Genomic DNA, 14,080 nt, shown 5'->3' on the forward strand with positions numbered 1-14,080 from the left:
AAAGTTTCCAGCATGCTAGCCACCTCTTGCTCATCTTGCCTGGTTAGCATAATGTCATTGGTGAAATAGATGGGTGTGATGTTCTCTGGAATTTCCAGTTGATCCAGCTCCTTTTGGACTGCGCAGAGCCATTATGTCATTATCCTGGGTCCACCTGATTTCCAAAGGGGCCAGACTGGCAAGTTAAGTAGAGATATGGCAGGGATGACCAACCACTCTTGTATATTTCAGGTCTTTAATTATGACATTAATCTCCACCATCATCTCACTATCCCCTCAGATGAAATATCGGTTTTGATTTATTATCTTCACTTGGAAAGAAGGACAGCTTCAGAGGCTTCCCATTGGCTTTCCCCACCATGATAACTCAAGACCAAGGACCCTGAGCTTCTTACCAATGTGGAGATTGCTCCAGCTGCCCAATATGTACTCCCAATTATGCACTCAGGAACTAAGAAAATGACTACTGGATGGGTCAGTGTATTCCTGGACCCACTGTAAGCTGGACATTATCCAGGACTCTGCTTATTACCTGATCCCCATAAGCCCCCACACTTAGAGAGGAGCCATGTGTGTTACATACTTTGGGTAACACCTGTGAAATGTCTGGGTATTCCTCTTTCCTCAACATAAAATCAGTCAAGAAAATGGCCGTGGGACACAGACCAAAGAGTAATCATTAATTACAGTAAATATTTGTTTCAGTATTGCAGGATTCTTCTTTATAGGGACCCAACAACCTCTTAAGTCAACAGATTCTGTGGTCTCAGTGTGAAGATAGGCTCAGGTCTGAGACTTGAGCAATGAGCAGTGCCTTTTATTAAGCAACTACTCCCTGCATAGGATAAATAGCTTCTTGTCTTCCTCCAGTTGTAGATGTTAGGCAACACTCTTGTTGGCTGCCCGTCTGTTTTTCCCCTAGGGAGACCTTATGCTATTAAAGCCCTCCACAACCTCCTGTGGATCAAGCCCCCTTGGCTGCTCCTCTGCCCTTGGCAGATGTTACAGTAATTACATCTTCTGGTGTCCTCATGGTTAAAGCCACCACCTGGCTTCTACTACTTCAGGATCCTGTTATCCCAATGGATATTATCAAGCCCAGCCCTGTGATTGCCTCTCCTACCGTCAGCCCTTCCCTCCAGAGGAGAGCCTTCTCTGAACTTCTTAGTGATGCTAGTGCCCCTCACGCCAGTGCATTCCCCATGGCCATAGAATATGATGCATCCTCTGGGCCTCCCATGGAACATTCCCCTCTGTCTGCCTTCGGGCTCTACACACAAAAAAAATTCTTTCAGGCAAGTCCACTTCCCTCAGCTCCTCTGTCCTTCTACCATTTGCAAGGGCAATTCGGGCATTCCTGCTTTACTCTGCATGCACTATGGCTTTCTCTCAGCTTCTAATAGTCACCTAGCAGTGAGTTTACCCATCTTCTACAGTCCCAAGTCCCAAGAAAGTGCCCCCAAGACAATGAATTTTTATTTAGCCAGGCTTGTTCTGGAATAGGAATTAAAAGAAATTAAAGAATGTGTAAACAGAAACTCAGTTCTATGTAAGAAAACCCACCTCCCCCCGAGAAAGAGAAAGAGCTGGAGTCCTTTAAATATTAACTGCCTGTTTTTCTGTGGCTAGTGAGCCTTATCTCTCCCTTTCCCAGGCATTGTAAAGACCCTGTTTCTTTAGCTGTGCGCTGCAAGGTCACTAGACAGATAAACTCAAGCCATTAAGACACGTTTTTCCTTGAAAAGTAAGAAATGATGTAATGCATGCCTCAATTAATTAAATAACTGTCTTTGTTTCTTGCTTCTGTAACATGCTTCTCCCTGCACAGATCTCCCCCAACCCCATAAAATGCTTAAAAGGTAACTTGACTCTTTGTTCGGGGCTCAGTCCTTTGGATGTTAATCCGACTGGGCCGGTGCACCTAAATAATAAATCCTCCTCAACCTCTTGGTATCTCTGATTCCTTATCAATCCCGCCACAGTTCCTGCCCACTTTGATCAAGCACCTTCAGAAATCCCATTCCAGGGGTCCTCTCCTGGCTCCTGCTGGTACACGCTAGGTAGTTCCTTTAGCTCCTACATTATGCAGTCTTCCTCCCCACACCTTTACAGGCCCAACACACAGGCAGCTGGGTGATGCTGGAATTTAACCTGAGTTATCACCCTGGCAGATATCTAAGAGGAGATGGGGCAGGTCCTGAGTGGGCACCTATTTATTCCTTACGCTAGAGGCTTCAACACTGCCTTCCCACTTAAGGGAAGTGTTAGCTTTGACTAGGGAAGGGTCAGCCACCTCTGCAAGCTCTGAGGATCTGCAGTCAGTATCCTCAGGGATTCTATCAGGATGTCCCATTTCATGCTTCAAGATTCCAGATTTTCCCAACCAGGGCCCAGACCTGCCTTGGCTAAGCGTTTAAACATCTCTGGGGCTCTACAACTCTTTTCATGAAAATCTCTTTTGCTCCTCTGCTGTCCACACTCCTCCACTGCAGGTGATAAGAGCCTGTCTGTTACCTACCAAGGAGACCTCTGACTCCCACTCAGCCTTAACTGTTTACAAATGACCCTCACTTTCTCATTATCCCATGCAGGGCATCAACACAATGTAGCAATAACCAGCCCACTGCACTGTTCTTTCAGACACTGCTCCCTCCATCTTTCAAGTGCATTAACTATCTCACCTAAATGGCATTGCCCTCCACTGGGCCAGTTTCCCAGGTCGCCATCACTGAAATCCACACGGGGGCCACTATCTTGTGCCAGACACTATCCAAGACCCCACATTCCACTCAAGATGGAGTTCTTGTAGCCAGTTGGGCAATTAATGAGCCACTCTCAGAGCCGATCTTACCATCTTCTTCTCAGATCACCCCACTTCTAGTCCACCTGTATCAACAGGCCCTCTAAAAAGCAGATGCCAGGGTGGAATCAGATGTGCAAGACATATTTACTGCGTGGAAAATCCTGGGAAGGATAATGGAGCAGGAGCAGGAATAGACAGGAAGGGCCCTCAGATCATGACACTGGTTAAAGGAGAGAGGGAAAGAAGAAAGACTGGATTAGAAGCACCTCAGGTAGTAGCACAGTTCTAAGAAGGTTTTGAAAATGAGGAGTCCTTAGGCCAAAATTGCCTGCTTAGAGGAGTTCCATATTTTGCAGAGATGGGCATCCACTAGTGTTCACACCATGCATGATCATTGGCTAAGAGCAGTCTATGGGGAGCATGCGCTTGTTACAAATGGAGTTGGGGAGCCAGAAGGTCAGGGGCAGGGCCTGGCAGTCAACTATGCTCCCCAGAGCAGATCTGAGCGGCACATTTTCCCGGTCACGGCTGCTGGAGGATTTAGAGTTTGAATAAGTCCTCTGTTCTGGCTGTACATCTTCTTTGTGCTGCCCTTTAAGCAATTTTTTAATCAACGTGCTATGGACTGAATGTTTGTATCCCTCTGAAATTCATATGTTGACCCCTAAATTCCCAATATTAACAGTATTTGGAAATGGGGGCCTTTAGGAGGTAATTAGGTCATGGGGGTGGAGCTCTCATGAATGAGATTCAAGTCTGTAAGGAGATAAAGGGATCAGAGAGCTCCCACTCTGCCACGTGAGGATAAAACAAGACAGCTGTTCGTACACGAGGAAGAGGGTCCTCACAAAATCCAACCATGCTGGCATCTTCATTTCAGACTTTCAGCTTCCCAAACTGTAAGAAAAAATAGTTTGTTGCTGAAGCCAGTCAGTCTACAGTACTTTGTTGTAGCAACCTGAACTGACTGAGACACATGATCAGATTCCATTCTCAGAACCAACCTTCCAACCAAGCAATATTGATTTGCTACACTTAAAAGTTTGGCTTTTGTCAAATTTCCAAAGCTATTTACCCCGTCTGAATTCAGAGGATTGACATGAATAATTTCCTTTGGATATGCCCTTGGGAAAAGGGCTTCATTTTAAGCACAGCTTAATGAGGTGTAAGAAGCTTTTGAAGGTGTTCTTTACAGAGTATTCATGGTAGGAGGTTTGCTTGAAGGGTCACACTGAAGACTGTGTCCCGTGACAGCATCACTGAAGTTTGACTTTGGATGTAACACTGAAAGTAGATGCTGTGCTACACCAGCAGATCCCCATTCACTGAAGTTATCATTCTGGCAGCTGCCTGCCTCCCTAGAGATTTCCCTTGGCTGGAGACACCGGCTTCATCCAAGGATAGGCTCTCTGCCCAGCGACAACACTTACCCCACAAACTTTGGGAGTACACAGTCCTGACTCCTATGCATCAATTGAGGATAACACTGCAAGGCCATCCACGCGGCAGAGACCTCCATGGGACTGGAAGCTCCACTTCTGCCTCTACCCAGTCCTGTTTCCCTTACTCCCTTATAAGTGTTGTTCCTTGGCCAGGCACAGTGGCTCACGCCTGTAATCCCAGCAACTTGGGACGCTGAGGTGGGCAGATCACTTGAGGTCAGGAGTTTGAGATCAGCCTGGCCAACATGGTGAAGCCCCTGTCTCTACTAAAAATACACACATACACACACACACACAAACACACACACACACACACACACACACAGAGATTAGATAGGCATGGCGGCTCGTGCCTATAGTCCCAGCTACTCGGGAGGCTGAAGCAGAAGAATTGTTGTTCCTTGGCCGGGCACAGTGGCTCACGCCTGTAATCCCAGCAAGTTGGGACGCTGAGGTGGGCAGATCACTTGAGGTCAGGAGTTTGAGATCAGCCTGGCCAACATGGTGAAGCCCCTGTCTCTACTAAAAATACACACATACACACACACACACACACACACACACACACACACACACACACACAGAGATTAGATAGGCATGGCGGCTCGTGCCTATAGTCCCAGCTACTCGGGAGGCTGAAGCAGAAGAATTGCTTGAAGCTGAGAGGCAGAGGTTGCAGTGAGCCGAGATCACACCACTGCACTCCAGCCTGGGTGACAGAGCAAGACTCCGTCCTAAATAAATAAATAAATAAGTGTTGTTCCTGAGGTCTCTCCCCTATAAGCCTGCACAAAAAGATTTATCTCAGAATCTGTTTCCAGGGAACCCAGCCTAAAACAATTCAGTCTTCTCCAGTGGAAAACTATATTAAATGCCATGACACAGAAAGACATTCATTCACACCTCCTATAGAAAGTGCTGGATGCTGAATACTGAGTTAAAGAAGAGAGTGACTCTGAAGAATTATGAGGCATGGCTTGTCTTATAACAGGTTTAGACAGAAGTTCAACAGACAACAATCAGGCCTCTGATGATATAGATTCAGAATGAGAACCAGGTGAAACAGCCACAGGATTTGATGAGGGTCACGTACTTGGAAGGCTGCAATGTATGGGTGGCACCTTGACTGAAGTGGCCTTTCGTTTTTCTTGAATATGTGCCAGGCATGACTGTCCAAAAGGGTTGAAATTGTGAATTTGAAATCACTCCAACACAGAGAATTTCAGCATCTTCATTGAAACGTTCTACTCCAACAAAAATCAGCTCAGTGCTTACTTCAACCACAGTTGACTTCTTTTTCTTTCTTGTGTCATCCTAGCCCTTCTTCCCACATAACATGAATAAATCTGCCATTTTAAAGTTAATTTTTTGCTTGAAGAGAATGGTCACACCAAGTTCCAGTGTGTTATTTTTACGAATTGCCATCTAAATTATTAGTGCACTAGTATCCTGACTGGTCTCCCTGTCTCCAGCCTCGTTCCTCTTGTCTATACTGCAGCCACCAGGACCCAGCTCCTGAAATTGGGTGTGGGATAATTCAGTATGGCTCAGCGAGCTCCATGCAGGGCCATGGGGGAAGGTCTTACTGTGGACATGCCCTTGCTCACTCCCCAGAGATCAGTTCTTCAAAGATGCCAGATGAGCACTTTTCTAAGTGTCAGTGCAAACTATTATTTCTTTATTGCACAAGTGAAATACTAATACCATAGAAAAGCAAAACAAAAAAGAGAAAAATCACCCTTAACCTCACTATCCCAAAATAACCACTGTTAACATTTTGATGCGTAACCCACTTGAAAAGCAAGATTTAAATTACCTTAAATATTTAAAACATTGATGAGATCAAAGCTTCCTCGTTGTTTTGATGTGTATTCCTTTGATTTATAATAATGTAAATGCTTTTTCATGCTTTTATGCTGTTTGGATTTCTTCTTTAGCAAATTGCCTGTTCATGCCCTTAACCCATTTTTCTGTAATATATTCATTTGTATCTTATAAACTTAAAACATTTTTTTATACATTTAAGAATTGTCTGTCATTTATGTAGCAAACATTTTCCCCACTTGAAGTTTGTCTTTCAACTTTGTTGATTCAGGTGAAAAATACACTTAATTGCTGAAATTTTGATACAGTCAAAAATATCCATCTTTTCATTATGGTTTCTGCCTTCGAGATCATATCTACTGTCTGTCTCAAAATTAAGATTAAATATTTATCATTATTCTAGTACTTGAATGACTTTGTTCTTTCTTAAATCTTTTAAAATATTTAATCTACCAGGAATTTATTTCAGCATAAAATAGGAGGAAAAAAAATAACCTAAAATATTTTCGGAATAATTAGGCCAGTGGAGCTTTTACAAAGGATGCATGCATGTGCCCTCCCCATGGTTAGGACCACCAAAGTAACTGCTGTCCCAACAATTAATTTAACATGTCCTGACTGACTTAAAGCATCACTGTTACGATATGCTAAATTCCTGTAAATATCTACATATGTTTCTGCAGTTTCCCTTTTTTTCCTTGGTCTGACTGTTCTGGAGTTAGTGCATGATTCTTTCTATTTATTGTAACTTTGTAATATACATTTTATTTTCAAATATTGTCTGGCTCTTACACATTTGACCTTCAAGATGAACTTCTGAACAGTTTTTTTCCAGCTCCCTTCCTAAAAAAAAAGGAATTGGGATTTTTGATTCTGTTATTGTTGTTGTTTTTAATCTTGGATTCATTTGGGTGAGATGTATATCTTTGCAATGTTGACTGTCAATCTAGGAAATATGTGCATCTCCATTTATCCAGGTCTTCTTTTATGTCTCTCCATAAAGTCTTACAGTTTTCTTATATGGGTCAAAGCAGTATATTTTTAAAAGGAACTATAAACTTTACTTCTTAGGATTATGGAATCTCAGCGCTTGAAAGGACTTAAAAATCACCTCACTGGCCGGGTGCGGTGGCTCATGCCTGTAATCCCAGCACTTTGGGAGGCCGAGGTGGGCGGATCACGAGGTCAGGAGATCGAGACCATCCTGGCTAACACGGTGAAACCCCGTCTCTACTAAAAATACAAAAAAAATTAGCCCGGTGTGGTGGTGGGCGCCCGTAGTACCAGCAACTTGGGAGGCTAAGGCAGGTGAATGGCGTGAACCCGGTAGGCAGAGCTTGCAGTGAGCTGAGATCGCGCGAATGCACTCCAGCCTGGGCGACAGAGTGAGACTCCATCTCAAAAAAAAAAAATCACCTCAACACTCCCACCCCATCTGCTGCTGAGTCCCCATCTCAACCAAAGATATGTGGCATATTTTTAGTGGTTTTTTTTAACATAATGGTATCACACTATGAATATTTTCTGTAACTTCCAGGTTATCACTTGCACAACATGCCTTGGAGAAATGTCTTTATCAATACTTGTAGATCAATTTAATCCATTTTAAGCACCATAAGATGTCCTCTGGAAAAGATTTTGCATCATTTACTTTATTACTGTTGATGGACATTTAAACCATTTCTATCATTTTGCTCTCACAAACAACTCAGCTCATAACCTTGAGCTCTAACTGAAGTAAGTCTCCAAATTCCTAGAGCACACACCACTGGGGGCACAGTTCCCCTCCTCATATATCACTACCAAGTGTTGTAATGCCTGTTCAAAGAAAGGCATTTGTTTACCTTTCCATGGAGTCTCAATTCTGTTCAACAAACATCTATTGCGCATGAATTATTTAGTAAGTACTGGGCTTTTTGTTTCTAATCACTAAGATTTATTTTTTAGGGAAATTTTAGGATCACAGCAACATTGAGCAGAAAGAGTGTTTTCATCTACTCCCTGTCCCTACATGGGCACAGCCTCCCCCACCACCAAGAGTGGTACATTTGTTAAAATTAACATGCCATTATCACCCTAAGTCCGTAGTTTATATTACAGGCATTTTTAACACACTAATTTTGATACAATAAACAAATCTATATATTCAATAATACTATGGAGGCTACACTATATGCCAGATACTCTACAGAAACTGGTGCTCCAGGGAAAATAGGAAATCCCCTACTCCTCCTCTCAACCTAAACAATTCCCAAAATAAAACATGGGTCATCACATCATGGTATCTATTTATTTATAAGCACAGGTGACTCTTCATCTATCAGATCACTAGACCAGGTAGCAGATTTCCAAATAATTTGGATAACCTCTGGAATTTGAGGTATCCATGCTTAAATTTCCATGTTCTTATACATGTTACACTTTCTGTGTGTCTCCCAAGGAGACCTCCCTATTAGACAGCATCCCACACAGAAAGAGTAGCATGTACAAGATGAGGATACAAATGTGACAAGCACAAAGATTCCAATACAAGTAACTTATTTGGGAGGTGATCCTAGGAAGCACCCATTGGTGAGTAGAGAAGTGAGACAGGGAAGGAAAGAAAGCTAATAAAGAATACATTAACAAACTAGTTACAAAAGGGGCCAATGGGGTGTCGTCCCTCTGAGGACTGCTAGGAGAATGTGTAAAACAGGCCACAGAGTTTTACCAAGTGAGGATGGGAAAGCTGGGCTATTTATTCACCATTCCTGCCAGTAGCATTGGTTGAGGGCTGTCCTAGTAAGGATTAATTCTATGACACTTCCAGCCTCCTGCATATGCACATAGAGTGGGCTCCTACAGGCCAGAGAAAGACTCAAGCAAGGAGCTTCAGGTTCTGGCAGTTGCCAGTTGAACCAGTGTGTGCAGAAATATGGGCCAGGCACCAACATAAAGGGAAATGTGAGTGGACACCGGTGGCATCTGCTACAAATGCCTATTTCTATCAACACCTGGCTAATTCACTCTTCAAAACACAGGGCAAAATTGTCCACTCTGGCAAGTGTTGCATGTATCTGCACCAGGCCTGGGGAGCTACCCTACTTCTGTATACCTGGGGCAGTTTGTGCTTATGTCACTCCTACTAAAAGATTGTAAGTGGTTGCACTGAGTCCAGGTTGGCCTGACTCCACATCCCAAGCTGAAACCCCTAAGCCAATATAAGTGAGCCCCTTAGCCCACAGATGCATCACTCTAATGTCTGCCTCCATCTTCACATTGCCCTATTCTCTGTGTTTCTTAGTGTCTCTCCTCCTCTTATAAGGACAGTAGTCATTGGATTTAGGCCCACAAGATCATTAACTTAATTAACATCTGCAAAGACTCTATTTCCAAATAATATCACCATTCTTTTTTTATTATTATTATTTTTGAGACGAAGTCTCGCTTTCTCACTCAGGCTGGAATGCAGTGGCACAGTCTTGGCCCACTGCAGGCTTTGCCTCCCGGTTTCAAGTGATTCTTCTGCCTCTGCCTCCCAACAAATAAGATCACCATTCTGAAGTTCCAGATGGACATAAATTTTGGGACTCTCTTCAAACTACTACATGGACAAAACAGACCAATTAGACTAATATCATATTTTATCATTGAAGGGATAAAAATTCTACTGTGTGGCTCTTAAATTAGGCGAATATGAGACAAGGACTACTGATGTGCATTTTGGCCAAGATGAGGAAAAAGCTGGCCTAGAAAATGAAATGAAGTGAAGAGCAGATGAAGATATTAAGAAATAGACAATCAGCATAAGCTTATATCTATTAAGGAAACTGATCCAATAATTAATAATCTTCCATAACAGAAAACCCCAGACCCAGGTGGATTTAATGGTAAATTCTACCAAACATTTAAAGAAGAAATTATACTAATTCTCTACAATCTGTTTCAGAAGATAGAAACAAAGGAATACTTCCTAACTCATTCTATAAGGCCAGCATTACCTTAATACCAAAACCAGACAAAGATATAAGAAAATAAAATATATCAGCAAATATCTTTCATGAACATAAATGCAAAATTCCTCAAAAAAATGCCACCATATTGAATACAACAATGTATAAAAGGATTCTTATAGCACGACCAAATGGGAATTATTCTAGATATTCATAGGTCAACACTTAAAAATCAATTAATGTAATTTATCACATCAGCAGGCTAAAGAAGGAAAGTCACATGATCGTATTAATACATGCAGAAAAAGCGTTTGACAAAATCCTATGTCTAGTCATAAAAACAAAAACCTCTCAGTAAACTAGGAACAGAGGGAAACTTCCTAAACTTGGTAAAGAATCTCTACAAAAAGCCTACAGCTAACGTCATACTTAATGGTGAAAAACTAGATGCTTTCCCACTAAAATCAGGAACAAGACAAGGATGTCACCTCTCACCACTGCTTTGCAACCTTGTACTAGAAGTCAAAACTAATGCAATACAATGAGAACAAGAAATGTAAGGTATATGGATTGGGAAGGAAGAAATAAAACTGTCTTTGTTGTAGATGACATGTTCATCTAAAGACAGAATCCAAAAGAATTAACCAAAAAGAGAAAAAAACCCTCCTGAAACTAATAAGCAATTAAAGCAAGGTTGCAGGATACAAGATTAATATGCAAGTCAACTACTTTCCTACATGCCAGCAATAAACAAGTGAAGTCTGAAATTAAAAACACAATACCATTTACATTAGCATCACTCAAAATGAAATACTTAGGTATAAATTTTTCTTTTTAAGTATAAGATCTATATGAGAAAAAGTGCACAATTTTAATGAAAGAAATCAAGAACTAAATAAGAGATATTCTGTTATTCATGGATGGGAAGACATAATATTGTCAGTCAGTTCTTCCCAACTTGACCTATAGAGTCAATGTAATTTCAATGAAACTCTCATCGAGTTATTTTGTGGATATTGCCAAACTAATTCTAAAAGCAAAGACGCCGGAGTAGCCAAGACAATATTAAAAGTGAACAAAATTAGAGAACTGACACTACCAGACTTCTAGACTTACTATGAAACTACAGTAATCAAGACAGTGCTGTACTGGCAAAAGAAGAGACAAATAGACCAAAGGAACAGAAAAGGGAGTCCGAGTCCAGAATTAGACCCATATAGATATAGTCAACTCATCTTTGACAAAGAAGCAAAGGTAATACAATGGAGAAAAGATAATCTTTTCAAAAAATGGTGCTGGAACAACTAGATAGCCACATACCAAAAAACAAACAAACAGAAAAAAAAAAAACGAATCTAGACACAGACCTTACACTCTTCACAAAAATTAACTAAAAATGGATTACGGATGTAAATGTAAAATGCAAAACCAAAAGACTCCATTTTGCATTGTAAAATGCAAAAGTATAAAAATAGATTTTCTCACGGTGTTGCTCCAGCCTGGGAGAAAATCTAGATGACCTTGCATTTGCCAATGACTTTTTTTTTTTTTTTTTGAGACAAAGTCTTGCTCTGTCACCCAGCCTGGAGTGCAGTGGTGGCATCTTGGCTCACTGCAAGCTCCGCCTGCCAGGTTCTTGCCATTCTCCTGCCTCAGCCTTCCGAGCAGCTGGGACTACAGGCACCTGCCACCACGCCAGGCTAAGTTTTTGTATTTTTAGTAGAGACGGGGTTTCACCGTGTTAGCCAGGATGGTCTCGATCTCCTGACCTCGTGATCCACCCTCCTTAGCCTCCCAATGTGCTGGGATTACAGGCATGAGCCACTGAGCCCAGCCAGCAATGACTTTTTAAGTGCAACACCAAAGGCATGATCTATGTAAAAAACAATTAATAAAATGGACTTTATTAAAATTAAAATTTTCTGCCCTGAAAAAGATACTGTCAGGAGAGTTAAAAGAAAAGTGACAGACTGGGGAAAGTATTTGCAAAAAAATACCTATTTTTAAAATGTTATTCAAAATATGTGAATAACTCTTAAAACTCAACAACATAAACACACAAAAAAATCTGATTAAAAATGGGTCAAAGACCTTAACAAATATCTCATCAAAGAAGAAATACAGATGATAAATAAGCATATAAAAAGATGCCCTACATCATATGTCACCAGGAAAATGCAAATTAAAACAACGAGATACCACTACACACCTATTAGAATGGCCAAAAGGCAGCACACTGATAACATCAAATGCTGGTGAGGCTGTGAAGCCACTGGAATTCTCATTCATTGCTGGTAAGAATGTAAAAATGGTACAGCCACTTTGAAAGACCAGCTTCTTACCAAACTAAACATACTACTTTTTATCAATGATCCAGCACTTGCACTCCCTGATAGTTACCCAAAGACATTGAAAACTTATGCCTGCACAAAAACCTACACACAGGTGTTTATAGCAGACTTAATGCCAAAACTTGGAAGCAATAAAGATGTCCTTCAGTAGGTGAGTGGATAAAAAAAGCGGCAGTACATCAAGACAATGGAATATTATGCAGCAATAAAAAGAAATAAGCTATTAAGCCATGAAAAGACATGAAAGGCTGGGTGTGGTGGCACATGCCTGTAGTCCCAGCTGCTTGAGAGGCTGAGGTGGGAGGATGACTTGAGCCCATGAGTTCAAGTCCAGCCTGGGCAATATAATGAGACCTCATCACTAAATAAAATAATAAATAAATAAATAAAGTTTTAAAAGAAAAAGGCATAGGAGAAACATAAATGCATATTACTAAATTCAAGGAGCCAATCTGAAAAGGTGACATACTGTATAATTCCAACTATATAACATTCTGGAAAAGGCAAAATTATAGAGACAATAAAAAGATCAATTGTTGCCACAAGTTAGGGTAAAGTGAAGGATGAATAGGTAGAGCCCAGAGGAATTATTTTAGGGCTGGAAAACCACTCTGTGTGATACTGCAATGGTAGATACATGTGATACATTTGTCCAAACCCATTAAATGTACACCACCAAGCTTGAGCCCTAATGTAAACTATGTACTCTACATGATAATAATATGTCATTTTATGTTTATCAATTGTAAAAAGTCTACCACTCTGGTGAAGGCTGTTGATAACGGGGGAGGCTGTGTGTGGAGGGGCAGGGGATATATGGGAAATCTCTGTACCTTTTGTGAAATTTTGCTGCGAACCTATAACAGCTCTAAAATATAGCTTATTGTGACGGTTAATTTTATGGTTAATATGATGGTTGATTTGACTGGGCTAAGGGATGCCCAGATAGCTGGTAAAACATTATTTCTGGGTGTGCCTCTGGGGTGTGTCTGGAAGAGATTAGCATTTGAATTGGTAGACAGTAAAGAAATAATCCTCACCAGTGTGGGTGAGCCTTATTCAGTCTGTCCAGGGACCCAATAAAACAAGAAAGTGGAAGAAGGATGAATTCACTCTCCCTATTTCAGCTGTGACATGCATCTTCTCCTGCCCTCAGTCATTGGCACTCCTGCTTCTTGGGCCTTCAGACTTGGACTAGGATTTACACCCCTGGCTCTTCTGGTTCTCAGGCTTTCAGGCTTGAACTAAAACTCACCGTTGGTTTTCCTGGGCCTCCAACTTGCAGATGGCAGATGGTGGGACTTCTTAGCCTTCATAATCATGTGAGCCAATCCCTCAGAATAAATTTCTCTCTCTCTCACTCACTCACTATCCCTTTGGTTCTGTTTCTCTGAAGAACCCTAACTAATACATCTGTTTAAAAAATGTAAAGATATTAAGAAAGAAAGAGAGTCTTGACAACATTATTTGAACACTTGGATCCAGCCATGGCTAAAGCTAACACCTCCTCTTCACTTTCCAGTTACACTAATCAACATATGTTCTTTTTGTGTAAACTTACTTGAGTTGAATAGCTAACATTCATAGCTGAATAGTCCTTGCTAATATAGTCAGTTATTGCACATCTAGTTGCCTCCGCAATACATTTTCCTTTCCTCTTCTTATACATGACAAGCTCCTGTTTGTCCTCAGGTCTCAGCTTAAGCAGAACTTTCTCGAGCAGATCTT

This window comes from Homo sapiens, chromosome 1, assembly GCF_000001405.40.
Source record: "Homo sapiens chromosome 1, GRCh38.p14 Primary Assembly".
Lineage (NCBI taxonomy): Eukaryota > Metazoa > Chordata > Mammalia > Primates > Hominidae > Homo > Homo sapiens.